Source organism: Homo sapiens, chromosome 2 (assembly GCF_000001405.40).
Source record: "Homo sapiens chromosome 2, GRCh38.p14 Primary Assembly".
NCBI lineage: Eukaryota > Metazoa > Chordata > Mammalia > Primates > Hominidae > Homo > Homo sapiens.
The window spans coordinates 189,474,343-189,496,717 of NC_000002.12; the positions used below are offsets into that span (position 1 = coordinate 189,474,343).

The window sequence follows — 22,375 nt, forward strand, 5'->3', positions numbered from 1 at the left end:
ATGAAAACCATGTGAAACAGATTAAATGCACTTAAAGCACCTGAAGTTGGAGTTTTGACACAGTCAATCTGTAATTTGTATGCTGTACAACTTTAATACCCAAACTAAATAACTAACAACAAACCGAGTAACTTAACCTTGTGATCTGGGATTGTTTTGTCCTGGACCTGGTGTAGGGATAGGGGTGGTTGTTGGCATAAATGTAGGAAGGTAGAAATGTATTTTTCTTTGGTTTGGCTTTTGTATAGGGAAAGCCTTTTCATGTTTCACTCTTGGCATTTACAATAAAAGGGACTCCGTGAGGACACTGTAGGAACAGACTGCGGTGGAGGATAAGCTTTTTAATTGCAACCGTGTTTTCTGTTTGACTCCAGCTTCTTCACACTCCAGCCCATGTCCTGCCATCTGCTGCTTTCCTGTGCTCCATGTTTGTAAATTCATTGCTGCTGTCTAAAGAGACTAAGAGGTAAAGCAGTTCTTAAGACAGGTTTGGACACTCTCTTTTGGGAAACAGGATCGTTTGTGTTTATCCTTTTTTAGAGTATTCTTCCACTGTATTTCTTTTTATTTCATAAGTTTTAAAATAGATTTAAAGGCTATAGGATTATTAAGTCAAGTAACATACATTGAAAATAAGTTTCAAAAAAGATCTTGTATGTGTGTGTTTTAAGGGCTTGGTACATAATTTAAAATTACATGTTTGTAAATTCACCTGCTCTTTTATAAATAACCCATAATTTTTAAAGTGTACTTAGTAACAAAATTCTTCATTTACTTTGTGTGATTATATTTCTACATAGGTGTCAAATTAGAAAGTTACTGTTTAGAAACATTTAATAGTGTTTATATTTTATTCTGTTATTGTTAAAGTGCTAAGGAAATTCCTGAAGATGTAGATATGGAAGAAGAAAAAGAAAGTGAAGATTCAGATGAAGAAAATGATTTTACCGAAAAAGTCCAGGATACAAGTAACACAGGTTTAGGAGAAGACATTATACATCAGTTGTCAAAATCTGAAGAAAAAGAACTGAGAAAATTTAGGAAAATAGACTACAGCTGGATAGCTGCCCTTTAAGCCTTGGAGATGGGGAGGATCCTTGGACTTTGTGTTTTTGATTGTATGTTGATATTCTAAAAACATCTATTTTAATGTTATTTCTGTTCTAAAAATAAGATAATAAATATTAACAAACTTTGCTTTTTTAAAAAACTGATAATATGAACATGTATTTGCATCATGCTTTACAGTTACTGGATCATTGATATACCACATCATCTCATTTTTTTATTTTGAGTCACACATCAGCCTTATAAAACAAGTAGGTATTTTCTTCACAGGTGATACAGCAGAACTGAGACTTGAACTGTACAGCATATGTCCCCTAAGCTGCAGTTTGGAGATACGAAAAGATTTGAAAGTTAAAAGGCTTTGTTGACATAATTGTTTTAACACAAATTCATTTGGTGGCCAAATGTGACCTGAGCTGGAGTGAGGTTTCTTTAGTCCTGATTTATTCCTCTTAGTGTATTTATTTCTCTCAGAGAAATTTAGAGACGAGTTGATTATGTGGTGTTCCACAAACCTCACTGAGGATATTATATAATAATATGGGCTGCCTAAAATTCTGAATTCAGATGATCTGACCCAAAGTCCAGTTGCTAGTAGAAAACGATCCAGATCCCCTGTTTTAGTTAAAGCAGTGAAGCTGCTACATCTTAACCACCTAGCATTTTGAGTTTTCCACTTCCCTAATGCACTTTTGTAAAATTTATATTTAGAAGTTAGCACAAAAACAAAGCGTTTGTAAGAGCACATCTCAATGAATGTTCACAAAAATTGCTGCAAATGGCTTTTTAGTTTGTGCTGTAGACCAAATGTTTGTTGTGCCCCCCTAAAATTCAAATGTTGGAATCTAATCCTCAATGTGGTATTTGGAGATGGGGCCTTTGGGAGATGATTAGGTCATGAGACTGGAGCCTTTGTGAATAGGATAAATGCTGTTACAAAAGAGACACTGGAGAGCTTCTTTGCCCCTTCTAACACGTGGGGATACAGCAAGAAGAAAACCATCTGTGAACTATGAAGTGGGGCCTCACCAAACAGCAAATCTGGTGCCTTTTTGTTAGACTTTCCGACTTCTGGAACTGAGACATAAGTTTCTGTTTATAAACCACCCGGTCTGTAGCATCCTAAACAGACTTAAAGTGTTTTTGAATCACTATTTATGTAAAATCTTAACTTTTTTTTTTTCAAGTCCCCAACCCCCACCTCGGACTCGTAAGTGGCTGGGACTACAGGCACTCACCACCACACCTGGCTATTTTTTAAATTTTTTGTAGAGATGTCTTGCTATGTTACCCAGGCTAGTCTCAAACTCTTTGGCCTCAAGTGATCCTCCGACCTTGGCTACATTTTTTAAAAATAAGCTACATTGAGATTTGAGATGTAACTCACAAACCATACAATTCATGCATTTAAAGAGGAAAATTTAGTGGGTTTTAATACGTTCAGTCTTGGACACCATCACCACAATCAATTTTAGAACATTTTCATCACCCCAAAACTAGCCATTTCCCTCAGCCTCCTTCACCTCACCAACAATGCAACAACTCATCCTATCTCTGTAAATTTGCCTATTCTGGACATTTCATGTAAATGGACTCATACAATATGTGATCTTTTGTAAGTGGCTGCTTTCATTCAGCATCCATGTTGTAGATATATCAGTACTTCATTCCTTTTTATTTTCACTTTTGTTAGTATACCTATGAGGGGAATTACTGGGTTATTTGGTAACTATGTTTAACCTTTTGAAGAACCACCAGATTTTACATATCAGCTGCAGCATTTTACATTATTTACATTATGGCACATAAATTGCTCCACAGTCATCCGTTAAATTGAGTCCCTTTCTACTGGTGGTGGGATGGAAGGTGGAAATTAAAAAAAAATTGAGATCCCTTTCAGGGGTGCTTTTGTTGTTTTAAGTCTATTTTTTTAAGGGTAGTTTTAGGTCAAGAAAATTGAAAGTACGGAGATTTCCCATATACCCTCTCCCCCAACGCATGCAATAGCCTACCCCATTATCAACATCTCTGGTGCACCAGAGTGGTACATTTGTTACACTTGAAGAACCTACCTCAACCCATCATAATCACCCAAAGTCTAATTTGAATTAGTGTTCAGTCTTGGTGTAATTCTGTGGGTTTATGCAACATATAATAATATGTATCCATCAGTATAGTATTACACGAGTATTTTCACTGCCATCAAAATGCAGCGTTAGTTTTTGAGGCCAGCCTTTGAGGTTTGTTCTGATCCCAGGAGGACCCATTTTAGCTGTCTCTTTCCTTGTTTTCTTTGTTTCTGGTAAACTAGCTAGTTTATGGTTTAGCTTGTTGTTCTAATGGAGCTACCAGTCTCCTCTTAATTGCTTACCACCCAAATCCCCATTGTTTTTGAGGCTTATGTCAGAACTGTATTCTTATGGACTGCCTCTTGCCCCTGGGCAAGATCTCTGAGCCACTGCTCCAGAACCATGAGTAGGCACAAAGGCCCAGTTCTCTCAAGAGTGACACCCCTGCTTTACAAATTGAGCAGAGGCAGTAGCCTACAAGCAAGCTGGGGCAGTGGCGACCAGAGCTCCAGTATTCTTAGCCTACCATCCTTGGAGTAGAGGCTCCACTCTGTGAGTAGGGTCTTGGTGAAGGAAGAGAGATTCCAACCTCTGGCCTGGAATTTAGCCTCTGCAACAGAGAGTTGGAGGCAATGAGAAATGCTCACAGCTGAGGGGAGAGGAAGCTCTGTCTTTTTGGCCACGGCTGCCCAGAATGGAGTTCCTATCATGCTGGCTGAGTTGAGGAAGGAGAGCTTTGTAACTTGAGTGTCACTGTTCTTGCCACCAAGATTTATTAGAATTTCTTGAATAAATGTTTCTTCATTTGCTGTATACCCTTAAAACAATTTCTGAAGACTTTTTTAATTTATTTTTGAGACAGAGTCTCCCTCTGTTGCCCAGGCTGGAATACAGTGGTGCAATCTCGGCCCACTGCCACCTCCGCCTCCCAGGTTCAAGCGATTCTTCTGCCTCAGCGTCCTGAGTATCTGGGACTACAGGCACCAGCCACCACACCTGGCTAATTATGTATTTTTAGTAGAGATGGGGTTTCACCATGTTGGCAAGGCTAGTGTCAAACTCTTGACCTCAAGTGATCCGCCCACCTGGGCCTCCCAAAGTGCTGGGATTACAGGCCTCAAGCCACTGCACCCAGCCAATTTCTGGAGACTTTAAATGGCTAGGTTTTTTAAAGTAACTTTTACTGATTACAGTTGTTCTGAGGAGCAGGTCCATGGATCTCAGACTGCCATTGAAGTAGACCTCTCAAGTCTCAGTTTACATTTTCTTCTTTGCCTTTTTTTTTTTTTCGTTTTTTTCTTATTTCTTTCTGTGCACAATTTGTTGAAAAAATCAAGTTTGCCCTGTGAGTTCGTCACTGATTTTGCAGATTGCTTTCATGGCTTTTAACATGACCCTCTGTATATTGGTAGTTGTATCTAGAGTAGCACTATGCAATAGAACTATAATGCAAGTCCTATGTATAACTTTAAATTCTCTAATAGTTACAATAAAAAAGTAAAAATAACCAAATGAAATTAATGCTAATGATATATTTTCTAAAACCCTGCAATAAATGTTTTATTAAGTTCCACGTATCTAAAATATTTCAACCTATAACCAAGTTTTAAATGATTTATTGGGATATTTTATGTTTTTTTCCATACTACCTTCAAAACTCAGTGTATATTTTATACTTAGAGCACATTTCCATTTGAACTAGCCACATTTCCAGTACTCAATTAGCTACCTGCACCTAGTGGCTATGGTTTTGGACAGCACAAATCTGGAAGCTTGATCAGATTTACTTGGAAATTTTAAGTAAAACAAGAAAGATTGTGTCAACATTCATTTTGATCTTTTCAGCTTCTCCCTCCCTCTTCCTTTAGGAGAGTGGGGCATATTAACATAATTACAAATAAATTTTATTATTTTGCCCTATGCAGACACTGACGTGGTACTTCCAAGTGCAAGAAATGTTTATTTTTTGCAGTTGTACATGAAAGATTTTATACTTTCAAATCAAATTACTTAAATTCGATACATGTCTTTTTAAAACAGTGGTTACTATATAACCTGAAAAATCACTGTGTAAGTGTGGACTTAATTACTTTTTCTAAAAATTTGATCACTCTTACACTAAAACATTGCCAGGGAAGATTATTTTAATTCTTCCTTCAATATTAACAATTCTATTTTCAAAGAATACTATACAAATAATAGGGAAATGGCTGCTTGATTTCTTAAAACCTGGACTTTCATCTAGCCATTCTATAATGCTGTCCCTCAGTTCCTTTCCTACTGGAAACTGGTCCAGTCATAGAAGATGAATCCATAAAGACTACTCACCTTCTATCCTTCCTCATTGTTCATTTCATTTATCTATCAAGACATGAAGTGCTACATTTGGTGCTCTCACTGGTATGTCCATAATGAAAGGCATAGCCTATAATTCAGGAAATATATAATCTCAACTTCACTGGGGAATGGACCGCATGTTAATCACCAACTATGTGCTATGCATTTCACTCACATCATACTTTGTCTATAATATCATGTGTCAGGTGTTACCCCAATTTAACATATGAGGAAACTGCTTTCAGAGAGATTAAGTAAATACTATTTAGGTCACTGAGCTATCAGAGGTGGGGCTATAACAGGAGGACCTCTGCCTATCAAATCCCAAATCTTATGCACTTCTAGAATAACATATTGTCTACCAGACACTTAAAGCAGCTAATTGGCATTACAGAGGGATCTATAATTGGGGAGGAATTATAATAAGAATCAAACAAAATAGCCCAGATCTAGAGCTAATCTCAGCTGTAAATGAGCTAGCTAGCTCTGTGACCTGGCTATAATCCTTTAAACTGTCTGAGCTTAAATCCCCTCATCAGTAAAATGTGCTCTTGCCCCATGCAAATGGTTTTGTTTACCTGACTAATACGATTATATTGCACACATAGGAAATGTGTGTAAAATTGGAATATTGTACAAGATTATACACTTCAGTACATACGAAATTTTAATGAAAAGTCTACTAATTGAATGCATATTGATTAAAATAGCTTCGTTGTTAATGTGCTGAAACAACATTCCTCTTTGGTTTTTTCCTCCTATCATAGCCTAGCACCCAATATAGAAATGATAGAATATGTTGAAATGTTGTGGATAATGTGTTTTAAACAATTTCAGTTCTTTGTACTATGACTATAATGGAGCCTTTAACAGAAACCTATTAACATAACTATCTGGTTAAAACTAACTAAATCTTATAAATGGCATCAATTTTTCTTTGAAGCTGCTCTGTCTGACCTACTACTTCTAGAAATTGTGCTTCCTCTGTTAGTTGTGTTTCTCGATAGCAACAAAAATGACAAAATCACCTTAAGACACCAAAGCCATAATTCTGTCACCACACAATCTTCATAGAAATGGGAAAAGACCTGGGAAGGATTTTGGATCCCAGGTAGCTTATTTATTCCTGATGAATACCTTTGAGATTAAAACAAAATAGAAATGAAAGTAACTGGGATTTGATAGTAGTACACTATGACAACAGGAGGTGAGTAGACTGGAATGAAAATGAACCACTCAACCACAGAGATGCAGTCAATAATTATGATGCTCAGATTGCTTTGTTTTTCAAAAACCATGAGCAAACCACTTAATCTCTGAGTCTCAGTTCCTTCATCTAAATTGCAGAATTAGACAAAGTGACCCTTCCAGCTCTGATATTCTGTGACATCAAAACTTAGATACCAGAATATTGCAGCATAGGTCCCACATCCCATCCCATGTCTCAGAATGCCAAGAAACTGGTCTTGCAAGTATTAAATTTTCGGTGCATGTATATAAATAGGTGGAGAGATGGCTATCTTAGTTTTCCATCTTCAGGCATGACATACATACCCCTGGCTTAGAAACTCCCTGGGAGATCAGAGCACTTGGTTCACAAAATGAAATAATCAGACATGAAAGTGCACCAGTTCCTTTCATTGTTTTGTTGAGTTTTGATCATCCTTGTTACTCAGTGGTTGTCTACTTTAACGGAAGGATGAATATAAGTGCTCTGAAAACAAGCACTTTAAATGCAAATATTTGGATATTATGCTCTAGCTCACATAGGAATGTAAGTTAAATTCATATTCTTTCGGAAATGCCTGTCTGCAGTTGTGAAATTGAGTCCACTAGCCCAGCTCAATGTGGCGTTTCTGCCAGAAAGAGCACTGGTCTAGGAGTCAGAAGACTACTAGCTCCAGTTCTGCCTCTGCCTAGATTTGAACCTCTCAAGTTATTTGAGGTCTTATGGTTTGAATCTCTACGAAGCCTGGGTTCCATTAGATGGTCTTCTGAGCCCCTTTGTTGACTCTCAAATTGTGATTCTCCAAAATGCCCAGAACTCTGTTAGCCCTATCCAAAAATATATGTGTGGCCTTGCTACTTAATTGCAACCTTGGTGCTGGACAGAAGAGAAAAGCAGCTTCAAAGACTACATTTCTGAATAAGAGAGAAGATCCTGCACTAATGAAAGAAGGCTTGAGGTATCCTTTGCCTGAATCTCTTTAGACTTTACCCCAGAGAATAGGCTTGGAGTCAGAACTCCCATCAGCAACATGTCCAGAGAAACTATGAGCTAAGTATTTAATACAGCTCCCAGGGGCAGGCTGACCCCGCAGGGCTCAAAACATGGAATAAGGGAGCAGGCTGTAGGACACACAAGGAGCTCTCCTATTTGTTGAATGAAGATGGCCATAGAATGAACAAGATAAGAGCAGGTAGGTTTGTTAAACTCAACAGTCAAGGTGAAATGAAGGGCCAACGCTTGTCTTTATAAGCAAATCTTTTTCCCAGGCTCCAAGTACCCCCTTAAGCCACTGAAGAGTGATATATTCTGCAACATGAGCAAGGATTTCATGAATTTTAGGCAGTGAAGGGATTTTTGGAACTGCCAACTAAATATGTCTGACTTCATTACACTCCATCCCTCTGCTATGTCCGACCTGTGTAACACTCCTCTCATCCCCCTAATTCATGACCTTGGCAGAAAATGTCCTCTTGACTATATAAAACAAGCTAAAGGAAACACTGAACACCACAAGATGTACCACATCTGTGCAGGTCTTTTAGCTAAAGGGGCAGAGAGAAGCATCACTGGCTACTGAAAACCGAACAACACAGAGAACACAACTGTATTGGTATGTGCTAGAATTGGGAATATCTTGAGACAAGGACAAGAAATTCCTGTGTTATATTTGCCTTTGCCTTCTTCCTGACTCATCTAACTTCTTTCCTCTTTTAGTGGGAAATTGGACTACTCTGAAAATGTCTGCTTGTTTTTGGAGAATATCTACAGCAGAAGAAATTTGCACAGCAGTCACTCGGTCCACATTTACTCTTCAGGATGTTGTGGAATGTACCCCCAGGTTGCTTTTGGAGTGCAAATAAAATGTAGCTCAACCCCACCTCAGCCACAGTGGCTCTGCTGACTTACTGGGAAAAACACTCAAACTTCCATGGGCATCCCTTTCCTCATCAGTGAAGTGAGAAGAGGCTGAGGCACCTCAGGGGCCTTCCAACTCTGATAGTCCTTGATTGCAAGTGTACTACGTAATACTTTTTGTAATGAAGAGGGTAATTAATGCATTGATAATGATAATTCATTGTAGAATATGGTAATAGAATAGAGAATCTTACTATGTTGGACAGAATTTTTTATACAACTAAAAATGGAGGAATGGACATCTTCTCCCAGCATAGAACTGCAGTGACACCCACGTAGTACCGGCTCTAGTGGTGCTCAAGCCCGGGTTTATGTATGTTGTTGGGGTTGAGGTCGGAGGGTGGGTTAGACATGAATAACTTATGGCAGCGATTACTGCAAGTTTCTTAAGGGCCCCAGAGGTATAATAATAACATAATAATTATGAGAATATCCAGCGTCTTTCTAAAACTCATCATGTGCCATTTAATCCACACCTTAAGATACATGTGAAAATGCAGTTTTGTAATATCTAGTTCGCAGAGTAAGACACTGAGAACCAGGAAGGTTTGGTGAATTGCCCAGGGTCACAGCACTAGTAAATGGATGAGCCAATGCTCCAGCTCAATTTGGCTCTAGCACTCGTTCCTTAGCCACTGTGGTCCCCAAAATCAGCAAGAGGGCTTCTTCACCACCACCCTCAGGCCTCCTACAAGTGCAGCACCCCGGGTCTGGAACATTCCCATTCTGATGAGGCTGGGGGGAGGGGGGGTCTCTGCCCCACCTGGCCTCAGGCCATCGTTGAGTGATGTCTGCCTGCACCACTGTCCCCACCCACTGGAGGCCGTTTGGTCTCCTTTGTACCTCCTCTCAATCTTACCATAGCCTCAGCTGCTCTGCAGATCCCAGGCATCATCCTGAAGCTGCTCAGGTGGGTGAATGAAAGTCTGGACTCTTTCCCTGTGGAAGGTGAATGCCTGCCTGGGCAACAGTACTGCTGCCATCTCAGCTAGTGTGAGAAGGGCTGTGGGTGTGTGCCTGGTACAGAGCACCATTCAAATGCGTGCAGGCCTTGCTGCCGGTGCTGCCCAAGAAGCTGCAGGCTGCCTATACCCTGTATCACTACCCTCCCTGTGACACTGCTAGACCAGCTGGGCTGCCTCAGCACAGCCTGGCACAATACATGTGTGGAGGACAAGGAGTCCATGGACTCACCTGGTGCTCATCTCCGGGATTACCTTCCTCATCCTGGAACTGACTCTGATCCCTTCCTACTGCATGGCCCTCATCGTCATCTGGGGCTTGAAGTCCCAGATTATTTGCTCCTTATGTAAACAAAATATTTCCAGGGGCCAGATAGCCTCACACAGCTCAGCTTTTATGGCCTAGAGATATCTCCCAGGTCTGTGTTTCATCCTGCGACAGCGCTATCATCTTCCTGGCCCCTCAGGGCTTAATTTAGGAACTGTATTTGTCAGGGTTCTCTAAAGGTAGACTGATTCAGGGACCTTGTCTGTATTATAATCATTTGGCTCTCTCAAGGATAGAAGAGAAATTGCACAATCAGTTCAGATAGGAGCAGTTTTGTTGTTGTTGTTGTTGTTGTTGTTTTGTTTGTTTGTTTGTTTGTTTTTTGAGACGGAGTCTTGCTCTGTCATCAGGCTGGAGTGCAATGTGCAGTCTAGGCTCACTGCAACCTCCGCCTCCCGAGTTCAAGTGATACTCCTGCCTCAGCCTCCCGAATAGCTGGGACTACAGGTGTGTGCCACCACACCCAGCTAATTTTTGTATTTTTAGTAGAGACGGGGTTTCACCATGTTGGCCAGGCTGGTCTCAAACCCCTGACCTCGTGATCCACCCGCCTCAGCCTCCCAAAGTGCTGGGATTACAGGCATGAGCCACTGGGCCAGCCCAGATTGGAGCAGTTAATTAGACAAGTGGACATAGATCTAATTCTCATGATATGTGAAGAGTGTCAGGAGGCTAGGGTTTGTCACAGGAAATTAAGAAATCCAGGGAAGCTTTTTTTTTCCCCTCAAATAACCACAATGTCCTAATCATACCAAGGAGTGCCTAGAAATTTCTAGGATACAAATTTCAATTTTTTTCAATAGGTTTTTGAGTTTATACTTTGCATAAAAGTGCACAAGATCCAGCTTCTATCCTTAAGTTGCAACAGTCTATATGGTCAATTTGTTATAAGCCCCTGATACCTGAAACTATGCCTTCCTCAGTTTCAGAGTAGGCCCACCATCATCACAGATAGGCAGGCTTAATGTTAAATAGCAAGAGAAGATTCTAACCAGATGTCCTGCCTTCAAATAACCCCACGAAAATTGCTGCCTCACTGTCACTGCACCCAGCTGTTCTGGGAGCATGTACTATTAAAAGAAACTTGTCTATCCAGACTCCTCTGCAGTTTACAAAATGCCAATGCGCACTGAATATCTCATCAATCTCAGTAACTATAGACAGAAGAGTTACATAGCACAGAAGCTGTTACTTCCCCAAAGTCAAATGATGAATAACTGATAGAATTCAAATCCTAATCCAGACCTTTTGACTACAAAACTGGAATTCTTTCCACTTCCTTTGTTCTATGTAGACCCTCAGTAATGTTAATAATACAAGGTTAATTATTGAAATAGTTGTTATTCTCATTCTACTTCTTAGGAAATTAAGATGTCAAAACTTTTTAAAACAGACCAGCTTAAAAAATTGTATAAGAATTGAATGGCATTGAATTTTTGGCCATAAAAAATATGTATATAAATTGAAGCCCCACTTTTTGCCATATGTCACAACTCTAATACTAGGAACTGATGTTAGTAAGTGGACTAATTGTGTAGTAATCTAAGACAATATCATTTTGTTTTAACAAGGGTATTTTATAAACACTTTATTATATGAATGCTTGAGTGCAAAATGTTTAACCCTTAAAATTAGCAAAATTTCATTTAAATTAAAACTCCATTTAACGAAAAATGGTTAACTCTGAGAATTGTATAGTAGTTGACTTCTGCTATACAATGTCAAGCCTACACAATACAATAAGAACTGCATCATGGCTGTTTATTTTCTCCATTGCTCTTCTGAAACTGTTCCAAAGGAGTGGGAGAAGGCTACTAGACAAACATGAAACAAAATGCAGCTCAAATTAATTGCCCAGAGTGACTCCTAATAGTTGCAAGTACATTTTGACTCAGTTGTCCAACCAAATAGCTGGGGGTTAACTGCAGGTATTGTTCCAGAGCTGCCAAGAAGTTTTGTTTTTAGAGCTTAGTAAAAGTTCTGCAGTAGATGAGAAGTTGCAATTTAAAGCTCCATATTCTGTAGTTACTACTCATACATACTTATTATCTGTAAACACCATAAATATATATTAAAAAGAGTACTCTCGCCAGTCAATATAGTTTAAAAATAAAAGATGAGGTAACATCATTCTCAAAGTCCACCAGAATCTTGCCTGAAGACTTTGAGCAGCTGCCAATATTTCATTTTCATTTGTGCGTGGGTAGAGGCATCTCTGACGGACTTTAACAAAACTGGATCCACTGGTTTTTAGTATAGCAGCAACATCTTTCAATGCGTGGTAGATAACGTACCTCACCTGTAATACATCTTTGTGATTGGTATGAATCTGTGACAGATAACGGAATTCCTGTCTAAACCAGGAGCATTGTTTAACATGCTCTAGAGAAACAAAATTTTCAGTCATTTTGATACCACTATGTAAGTTATGGGTCTGATGTGGAGTTCCTGCTGTGATAAACACTGCTTCTCTGAGAAATTGTATAATAGCTCAGCCTTGACCTCCATACTCTTCATGAAGATGCTTTCTTAGTGATCTGTCTAAATACCAGCTCTGATCACAAATAGGATCATGGTCTGCTGGATTTTCTTTTCTTTTCTCTTCTTTTCTTTCTTTTCTTTTCTTCCTTCCTTCCTTCTTTCTTTTCTTTTCTTTTCTTTTTTTTGAGAAAGGGTCTCACTCTGTTGCTCAGGCTGGAGTGCAGTGACACAAACACAGCTCGCTGCAGCCTCGACTTCCTTGGCTCAAGCCATCCTCCTGCTTCAGCCTCTCCAGTAGCTGGGACCACAGATGCACACCACCACACCCAGCTAATTTCGTTATTTTTTGTTAGAGATGGAGTTTTGCCATGTGGCCCAGACTAGTCTTGAATTCCTGGGCTCAGCGATCCACCCATCTTGGCCTCCCAAAGTTCTGGGACTGCAGGTGTGAACCACCACGCCCGGCCTGCTGGGTTTTCTTGAGTTTGTTGTGAGTTCGTCAGCATTCCATCTTGGATAGTTTTAAGGAGTTCTTCATGGTCACACTATCCTTTGGAAATTTCCACATAGACCATAACACTGGCTACACCAGATATATCTAAATAAAGACTTGAGGCTCCATATTTCCAATCTCTAATAAGCCTGTAAGCATTATGTATCTTCAGAACCAGATCTGGCCAAACAAAGTAGTTTGGCAGTCTAGAGAACAAATTTAGTTTGCCATCTCATTTTGTGTACTCAAGTGTGCTCAGGCAATGGAATGTTGGCAATCAGATCATCAAACCTGGAAGCGATCATATCTCTAAAATCTTCTCCTTGTGGCTAGTCCTTAAGTTTCCACATCATTATTTTTCATTTTAAAGCTTTTTGGAATAACTTCAAACCCGCTCTAGAAGTCTACTGTGGCTTCTGTGATCATTTCATTAGGTCCTGCCATTAACTATGTTGACTTCCATATCTCCTTTGGTGAAAGATTCAGGCTTCCAAGGTTCACCATTTAATTTATGATGCACCCCACAAACCCTCACTAGCTGCCCTATTTCCATCACTCCCTGAACACATTCCAGTTGCTCCTGTTGGGATCTTGCAAACAGAGCAGGCAATTATCTCATAGCCAGGTATGAGGAGTGTCAGCATGCTGGCTTGTCCTCAGTCCCTGAGGGTGCTTAGCTAAATCAGAGGACATTTTGTTTTCCACTAAAGAAGCACAGATGTCATCAAGGATTTTTGGTGTATTCTTGAGCCCATTTTCTGTCTTTTTTTGTCTTGTTGACATTCCCACCAGTTAGGTAGGTCAGTCAGTCAGTTTAAAGCAGATGTGCTGGCTGGACAGGCAGACTTTGTGCCTCTGGCTGGCTTGGAGGCTACATCTCCATCCGTGGCTGCTGTGCTAACACTGAGGAATTCTGCTGGAGCATTGTACCAAGAGTAGGTTTTTCTCCAACTATGGAAGTCTGCTTTATGTCTTCCTTTGAGATTGGCTTTGTTAAGAGTTTGGATTGCCTATTTGAACAGAAACAATCTGCCTTTATTCCACATTTTGCTCTTACAAAATGAACAGTCTCCAACAGCATGGAGAGATTTTCCAGGAATCATCATATAAACTTTTATATGACAGTGCTACCAGTCATATAAAAGTATAGCAATACAATTATTACATATAGCCATTATATTTGATAATAATAAATGACTACATTACTGGTTTATGTATTTACTATAGTGTACTTTTTGTTATTTTAGAATATACCTTTTCTACTTACTTAAAAAAAATTCCTATAAAAAAGCCTCAGGAAGGTCCTTTGGGAAGTATTCAAAAAGAAAGCATTGTTATCACAGGAGATGACAACTTCATGTATGTTATTGCCCCTGAAGACCTTCCAGGGGGACTAGATGTAGAGATGGAAGACAGTAATATTGATGATCCCATCATCAATATGTGGGCCTAGGCTAATTTGTATGTTTATATCTTAGTTTTTAACCAAAAAAGTAAAAAAAGTTTTTAAAAGTTTAAAAGTAGAAAACAGCTTATAAAATAGAATATAAAGAAATGAAATATTTTTGTAGCATGTGTTTATATTTTAAGCTGTGCTATTACAAAAAATCAAAAAGTTAAAAAATTAAAAAGTTTATAAAGTGAAAAAGTTACAGTAAGCTAAGGTTAATTTATTATTGAGAAAGATAAAATTTTTAAATTTAGTGTAGCCTAAGTGTACAGTGTTTATAAAGTCTACAGTAGTGTATAGTAATGTCCTAGGCCTTCAAATTCAATCACCACTCACTCACTGATGCACCCAGAACACCTCCAATGGGTAAGCTCCACTCATGGTAAGTGCCCCATCCACAGGTGTAGTATTTTTTATCTATCTATCTATCTATCTATCTATCTATCTATCTATCATTTATTTATTTTGAGGCAGGGTCTCACTCTGTCAGGCTGGAGTGCAGTGGTGTGATCACAGTTCATTGCAGCCTTGATCTCCCAGGCTCAAGCAATCCTCCTACTTTAGCCTCCCAAGTAGCTGGGACTACAGACACACCACCAGGCATGCACCACCATGCCTGGTTAATTTTGTAAAAATTGTTTGTAGAGACAGGGTCTCACTAAAGTTGTCCAGGCTGGCCTCAAACTCCTGGGCTCAAGTGAGCCTCCCACCTTGGTCTCACAAAATGTACTTTTAGCCAGGTGCGGTGGCTCACACCTGTAATCCCAGTGCTTTGGAAGGCCGAGGCAGGTGCATCACCTGAGGTCAGGAGTTCAAGACCAGCCTGACCAACATGGAGAAACTCCAATTCTACTAAAAATACAAAATTACCCGGGCAAGGTGGCACATGCCTGTAATCCCAGCTACTCAGGAGGCTGAGGCAGGAGAATCACTTGAACCCGGGAGGTGGAGGTTGCCGTGAGCCAAGATCAAGCCATTGCACTCCTGCCTGGGCAACAAGAGCAAAACTCCATCACAATAAATAAATAAATAAATAAAAGTATACTTTTAATCTTGTACACCATATTTTAACTGTACCTCTTCTATGTTTAGATCACAGACCCTTGCATAGGGTTACAATTGTTTATAGTATTAAGTACAGCAACATGCTGTACAGGTTTGTATCCTAGGAGCAATAGGTTATACCTTATACAGGCATACCTCAGAGATACTGAGGGTTTAGTTCCAGACAACTACAATAAAATCAATTATTGCAATAAAGTGTGTCACACATATTTTTTGGTTTCTCAGTACATATAAAAGTTATGTTTAAACTCTACTGTCACCTATTAAGTGTACAATAATATTACACCTAATAAAAATGTACATACGTGTACAGACAGGGGAATGTCTGGTCAGTGGATTAGTCAGAACACATTTACCGATTAAGTTCACCTTTTTCTGTAAGTGTGGTTCATGGCACCCAAAAACAATTACAAAACATGGCACCCAAAAACAATTACAACAGTAACATCAAAGATCATTGATCACAGATCATCATAATACATATAATAATGAAAAATTTGAAATATTATGGGAATTACCAAAATGTGACATAGAGACATGCAGTGGCCACATTCTGTTGGAAAATAGTGCTGATAGATTTTTATCAGGGAAGCAAAAGCACTTCCACAGCAGAATCTTTATATATTCATTGGCTAAGATTGAGTCATTTGGCCAAGATAATCTAGAAATCAAGTGTCTGGAAAAGAAAAAGAACAACAGGATTATAGACTGGTTATAGTGCATCCTCTGGAGCTGGGCAGATTGCTGCCTGTAATACTGTGCTTCATAACAAGCAATTCCCCAAACCTTTGTGGTTTATAAGAACAAGCATTTGTTCCCCGCTTATGGACATGTAGGTCATTAATGACTCTGCTAGTTTTGGTCAGGACTGACTGGGCTTGGATCCAGGACATGTATGGTACGTGTATGTTTTTATGTCTTCCCTGCATATAACTTTTTCTTTTTTGAGACATGGTCTTGCTCTGTCATCCAGGCTGGAGAGCAGTGGCATGATCACAGCTCACTGCAGCCCCAACCTCCTGTGCTCAAGCAATCCTCTCATCTCAGCCTCCAAAGTAGCTAGGACTTGACTTTAGGTGCAAGCCATCATATCTGGCTAATTTTTGTACTTTTTGTAAAGACAGGGTTTCACTCCATTCCCCAGGCTGGTCTCAAACTCCTGGGCTCAAGAAATCCTCCCATCTTGGCTTCTCAAAGTGCTGGGATTACAGGCATGAGCCACCATGCCCAGCCAACTCCACATATATGTTCATTATGGCACTACTGGCCACCCATAGTATGTTCTTCTCATGGAAAATGAGAGAAGTGCAAGAAATCAGATAAAAGCACACAAATACATTTACAATCTCTGTTCGTGTGATATCCAGTAACATTCCATTTGCCAGACAAATCACCTGGCTAAGTCCAACATAAATGGGGTGAGGAGACATACTCTGTACACTCCATTGGAAAGTGCTACAAAGTCGCATGTCAAGAGGTGTATATGCATAATTCAATTGTAGAATGGGAATGGATTGGGAACACAGATCTAATCTATCACCTCATTCCAAACAAAACTGGTACCCTGACAGCAAGCAAGAAAGGAATGATTATTGGCTAGCCATGCAATTGTATCTTCACATTAGAGTAGTTGTAAAAGCCCTTACGAACTTAATTGGCAGGAGAAAAAGGAGAAAGTAAGGAAATGGTTGAGTGACAAATTGCTTTCCCGGGCAGAGGTTTTCAGCTATAACATTAATGCTGACTTCAGGAGTGCAGAGCTGGGTGCATCTACCCCAGAGAGTGAGTTCTGAGAGCCTTCTACCTTCAACTGCATGCTCTTCATGTTGAATTAAAAGTATTTTTTGAGCATGAAGAACATGAGCCTCAAACATAACATTTCCTACGATTTTTTTTTTTTTTTTTTGTATTTTTAGTAGAGACGAGGTTTCACCGTGTTAGCCAGGATGGTCTTGATCTCTTGACCTGGTGATCCACCTGCCTCGGCCTCCCAAAGTGCTGGGATTACAGGCGTAAGCCACCGCGCCCAGCCATACGATTTTTTTAAAGTCAGGCTTTCACATACTTTCTAATTCTCCCATCTCACTTTTTTTTTTCAAGTAATTTGGTTGGGTGCAGCTGCTTATGCCTGTAATCCTAGCAATTTGGGAGGTCGAGGTGGGTGGATGGCTTGAGGCCAAGAGTTCTAGACCAGGCTGGCCAACATGGTGAAACCCCTTCTCTACTAAAATTATAAAAACTAGCTGGGTGTTGTGGCGTGTGCCTGTAATCCCAGCTACTTGGGAGGCTGAGGCAGGAGAATTGCCTGAACCTGGGAGGTAGAGGTTGCAGTGAGCTGACACTGGCCCCAATGCACTCCAACCTGGGTGACACAGTGAGACTCTGTCTCAAAAAAAAAAAAAAAAAAAAGTAATTTGTTTTGAGTCAGCACCCTTGGAGTTTATCCACCTAAGAGAGAAACAAAGAAATCAAAAGTTAAAAATGCAAATCCCTCCAGAGTTTCCAGAGTTTGCAGATATTTTAAATGTGCTGAAGCAGCGCTGGTTATAGTGGGAGCCAGCCTCCAACATGGTCCCCAATGATCCTCTCTTCCTAGTATTCAGATCCTTGCATAGTCTCCTTCCACATTGTGCCAGACTTGGTCTGCGTGAACAGTAGTATACAGCAGAAACAACAGTAGGTCACCTCTGAGATTAGGTTATAAAAGGCACTGCTGCTTCTGTCTTGAGCACTCTCTTACTCTCTCCCCTCGATTTCTCTCTCAGATGACTCGCTTTGAGGGAAACCCATTGCCATGTTGTAGGCAGGTCTGTGGAAGGTCCAACATGGTGAGGAATTGAGTCCTCTCACTAATGGCCACCTGATAAGGCATCTTGGAAGCATATCCTCCAGCTCAGTCAAGCCTTCAGATGACTACAGACTTAGTCGATAGCTTGCCGGCAACTCTGTGAGAAACCCTAAGAGAAAACCACCAGACTAAGCAACTCTGGATTCCTGACTCACAGAAAATGCCTAAGATATGTTTGTTTGAAGCTGCTAAGCAGTTGGCATAATTTATTACACAGCAATAGACAACTAATACCATCACAAAAATATGCAATCACCAAGACCCCATTGGAAATGTTAACTCAAGAACACAAAGACTTACTTGGCACTCACAGATAAGGAAACTACCACTGTCAAATCTGCTGCCCAACATTCATAAAACTAGTGTCTGAACACTGAAGGGCTCATGTAATAAAAAGCCAATACCTAGTCAATGACCACACTGGCACGCAGCAACAGTTGAAGCAAAAGATTGTGACCTAGGCCTCACTTTCTCTTCCAAATCTCACATCTTACACAACTATTTGGCAAAACCTAATTTGCATCTAAATCAGTAACTGCAAGAAAGCCTTGGAGGTACAAGCTTTAGCTTTCCAGGCTGTGTTCTATGGAAATGCGCAGTGGAAGGAAATTAAATGGATATTGAGTGATGCTTCACTATATCTACTATAGTGGGCTATTGTGAGCTAATTTTTTCAAACATTTTGAAAATCTTAGATTTAAAAAAGATAAAATTTAAAACCAAGACACTTATTACCAAAATTGGCTCAGGAAGAAGTATAAAATTGGAATAAATCATAACTATTAAAGAAGCCAAAATAATCCAAATTCTTCCTCAAAAGTTGCTAATATGTTGACAGTTTTATAACCATGCTTTATCAGACTTACAAAAAAAGTTAACCCCTATCCTAAAACACAGTTTTTAAAAGAAGAGCAAATATGAGCATATACAAAGCGACTTGACTTATTTCACAAAGCTGAGATAATTTTGACACCAAAACCTGGACAAGGATTGTATAAGAAAAGAAAATCATAGGTAATATCATTGATAAATACAGATGCAAAACTCCTAAATAAACCATTAGTAATTTGCACTCATTTAATGTACAAAAATAGCACTATATTATTTGTGGATCTAGGAATTCAAGGATTTTCCAGCATTGCCTGTTTATGGAGGTCTTGGGCATATAAGTAATCTTAAAATTCTTGGTAATAAAAGAGATTCCCAAGGAAATAAAAAATAGACTACAAAAAGTGATTTTTCTAGTTTTCTAGTCTAGAAAACTTAAAGTGATTTTTCTAGTTTTCTCTTTACTTAAACATCTTGCAGAGGAGACCTCAAAGGAGCAGCCAGTGAAATATGGGCAGGGCTGGGAAAGAGGGATGTGTGGTCTCAAGATAGCCGAGAGAAGAAAGTACACCAAGTGCCCACATGCTCAGACGTCAAATAAGATGAGGACTGATAATTCCTATTGCTTCTGTACTATGGTGGTCACTGGTTCTATGATAAGCATAAACTCAGTGGAGTGATGAGACAGAAGCCTAATAGGAATGGGTTGAAAGAAATATAAAGTGAGAAAATGGAGCTGAGATGACAGAAAATTCACTGAAGTGAAACCCTAAAGAAGAACAGTAAATGGGTTGGTAGCTTGACTCTTAAAAGGAATGGGATAAAAGAAAGATTGTGTTTGTATTTGTTGTTGTTATTTAAGAATGACAGATACTGCAGCATATTTGATACCAAAGGAAATAATCAGTAAGTAAAAGTTAAATGGTGCTGGAGAGACGAGAGATAATTTTGGGAGCACTCCTTCTCCTTCAGCCATAAACACCTTGCCAATTTCCAACTCAGGTGAAACTCAACTGTCTGCCACTCTCCTGAACTCAGCTAGGCTGAACACAGAGGAAGAAAAATACACAGCTGATCTCACTTAAAATCTGTGACCACATATCTCAAATGGGCATTTAACACCAACCAACAATCCTACCATATTTCCTTACGATGGTTTCTCCTGTCTCTGAAAACTTATTCATGTCCTTCTCCTCCTTCACTTTTAGTTGTTCACTATGTCTCATACATCACAGAGAAAATAGAAGCTATTAAACATTGTCTCATCGTCCCCCCACCAAATCCACCTGCTTTCTGTATCTGCCTTTTTTCTTGTCTCTCCAAGTGCTCCAGACTCCACTTCTTTATAACAGGAAACTGGCTGAAGGATAACTGCACACATTAACTCAGAACAAGTTAGGCTTAGAAGAAATAATAAACACAAAATAAAACTGAAAATCACTAAGCCCATATACAATAAAAATTTGAATAAAATTAATGAATGAATTCAATCTCCTTGAAAAGATTAGATTTGCAAAATTTGACATAAGAAAATTAAATTTGGTAGTAATAACATTATATGGTCTGGCTCTGTGACCCCACCCAAATCTTATCTTTAATTGTAATTCGAATTGTAATCTCCATGTGTTGGGGGAGGGAAGTCATGGGAGGTGACTAGATCATAGGGTTGGTGCCCCCATGCTGTTCTCATGAGAGTGAGTGAGTTCTCATGCTGTCTGATGGTTTTATAAGGGGTTTTTCCCTGCTTCGCTCTGCACTTCTCCTTCCTGCTGCCATGTGAAGAAGGACATATTTGCTTTCCTTTCCACCATAATTGTAAGTTTCCTGAGGCCCCCTCAGCCCTGTGGAATTGTGAATCAGTTAAACCTCTTTCCTTTATAAATTACCCAGTCTCAGGCAGTTCTTTATAGCAGCATGAGAACAAACTAATACAGTAAATTGGTACTGGGAGTGGGACACTGCTATAAAGATACCTGGAAATGTGTAAGCGACTTTGGACTTGAGTAACAGGCAGAGGTTGGAAGGGTTTGGAGGGCTCAGAAGAAGACAGAAAGATGTGGGAAAGTATGAAACTTCGAGAGATTTGTTGAATGGCTTTGACCAAAATGCTGATAGTGATATGGACAACAAAGTCCAGGCTGAGGTGGTCTCAGATGGAGATGGGAAACTTGTTGGGAACTGGACTTGGACTTTTGGTTTAATGCTGAAATAAGACTTTGGGGAACTGTTGGGAAGGCATAATTGTGTTTTGAAATACGAGCAAGATAAGATTTGAGAGGGGCCAAGGGCAGAATGATAGGGTCTTGCTCTGTGTCCCCACCCAAATCTCATCATTAATTATAATTCGAATTGTAATGCCCACAGGTTGGAGGAGGGACCCCATGGGAGGTGACTAGATTATGGGGGTGGTCCATCTATGCTGTTCTTATGATAGTGAGTTCTCAAGAGATCTGATGGTTTTATAAGGGGCTTTTCCCCGCTTCACTCTGCACTTTTCCTTTCCTTCCCCTTCCACCATGGTTGTAAGTTTTCTAAGGCCTCTGCAGCCCTGAGGAACTGTGAGTTGATTAAAACACCTTCCTTTATAAATTACCCAATCTCAAGCAGTTCTTTATAGCAATGTGAGAATGAACTAACATAATGCACCCAAATAAAGGTCAAATATGAGGTGCCATCATCAACAAAAATCTTAATTGTAAAATTTACACAGAAAAGCTGTCTCTCAGAGAAAATATTTTCAGTAAAATAAAAACAAAAATGGAAAGTAATATTTTAACTGCAAATATCCATCAAAGCTATAAACAAACATGAAAGTGCCGATATTTAGAAACAAAATCAAAACAATCTTGTACAAAAATATTGTGAAAAAATTGTCCCACAGAAAGGCCAAAATATCCTATACTAATGTGATGCATTTCTTCCCAGACCTTTTCCTATGTTTTCAGACAGAACAGTGGAGTCCGGTCCCCATTTCTTCAGTTTAGGATTCCCAAGCATTTGTAGTTTGTCAGTCCCATCTCTTTCTTGCCACTGCCACACCAATAGGTTCCTTAAGGCTAATAGATGTTCTAAGGACATCGTAAGAAGATGTCTAAGGTGAGAAACCCTGTGGTGGCAGAAAGAAAATGCTTGTGGCATTGGGCTGGGCATTGTCATGATGGATGATCAGCTGGCAAGTCTGTGGTTCAGATAGAAGACAGTTCCTCTAGAGAGCAGATTGAAGGCACAGTCCCTGGAGGTGAGCCATGTGAAATACTCTGTCTTAGGAAGTGTGGATAGTTGCCTGACTGGCAAGGTCTCT

At 39.6% G+C, this 22,375-nt stretch overlaps 1 protein-coding gene and 1 pseudogene across 2 annotated transcripts in view; one reads left to right on the plus strand and one right to left on the minus strand.

The window, feature by feature from the left end:
• The window catches only part of WDR75 (WD repeat domain 75), a 34,079-nt gene extending 32,869 nt beyond the window's left edge, over positions 1–1,210 (plus strand). For both annotated transcript variants that reach the window (NM_001303096.2, NM_032168.3), the window contains 2 exons: positions 375–466; positions 871–1,210. In NM_001303096.2, coding sequence (NP_001290025.1) covers positions 375–466; positions 871–1,075 — 297 coding nt within the window. In that variant the 3' untranslated portion in view covers positions 1,076–1,210. The remainder of the gene's footprint in view (positions 1–374; positions 467–870) is intronic.
• KDM3AP1 (KDM3A pseudogene 1) lies at positions 12,875–13,649 on the minus strand (annotated as a pseudogene).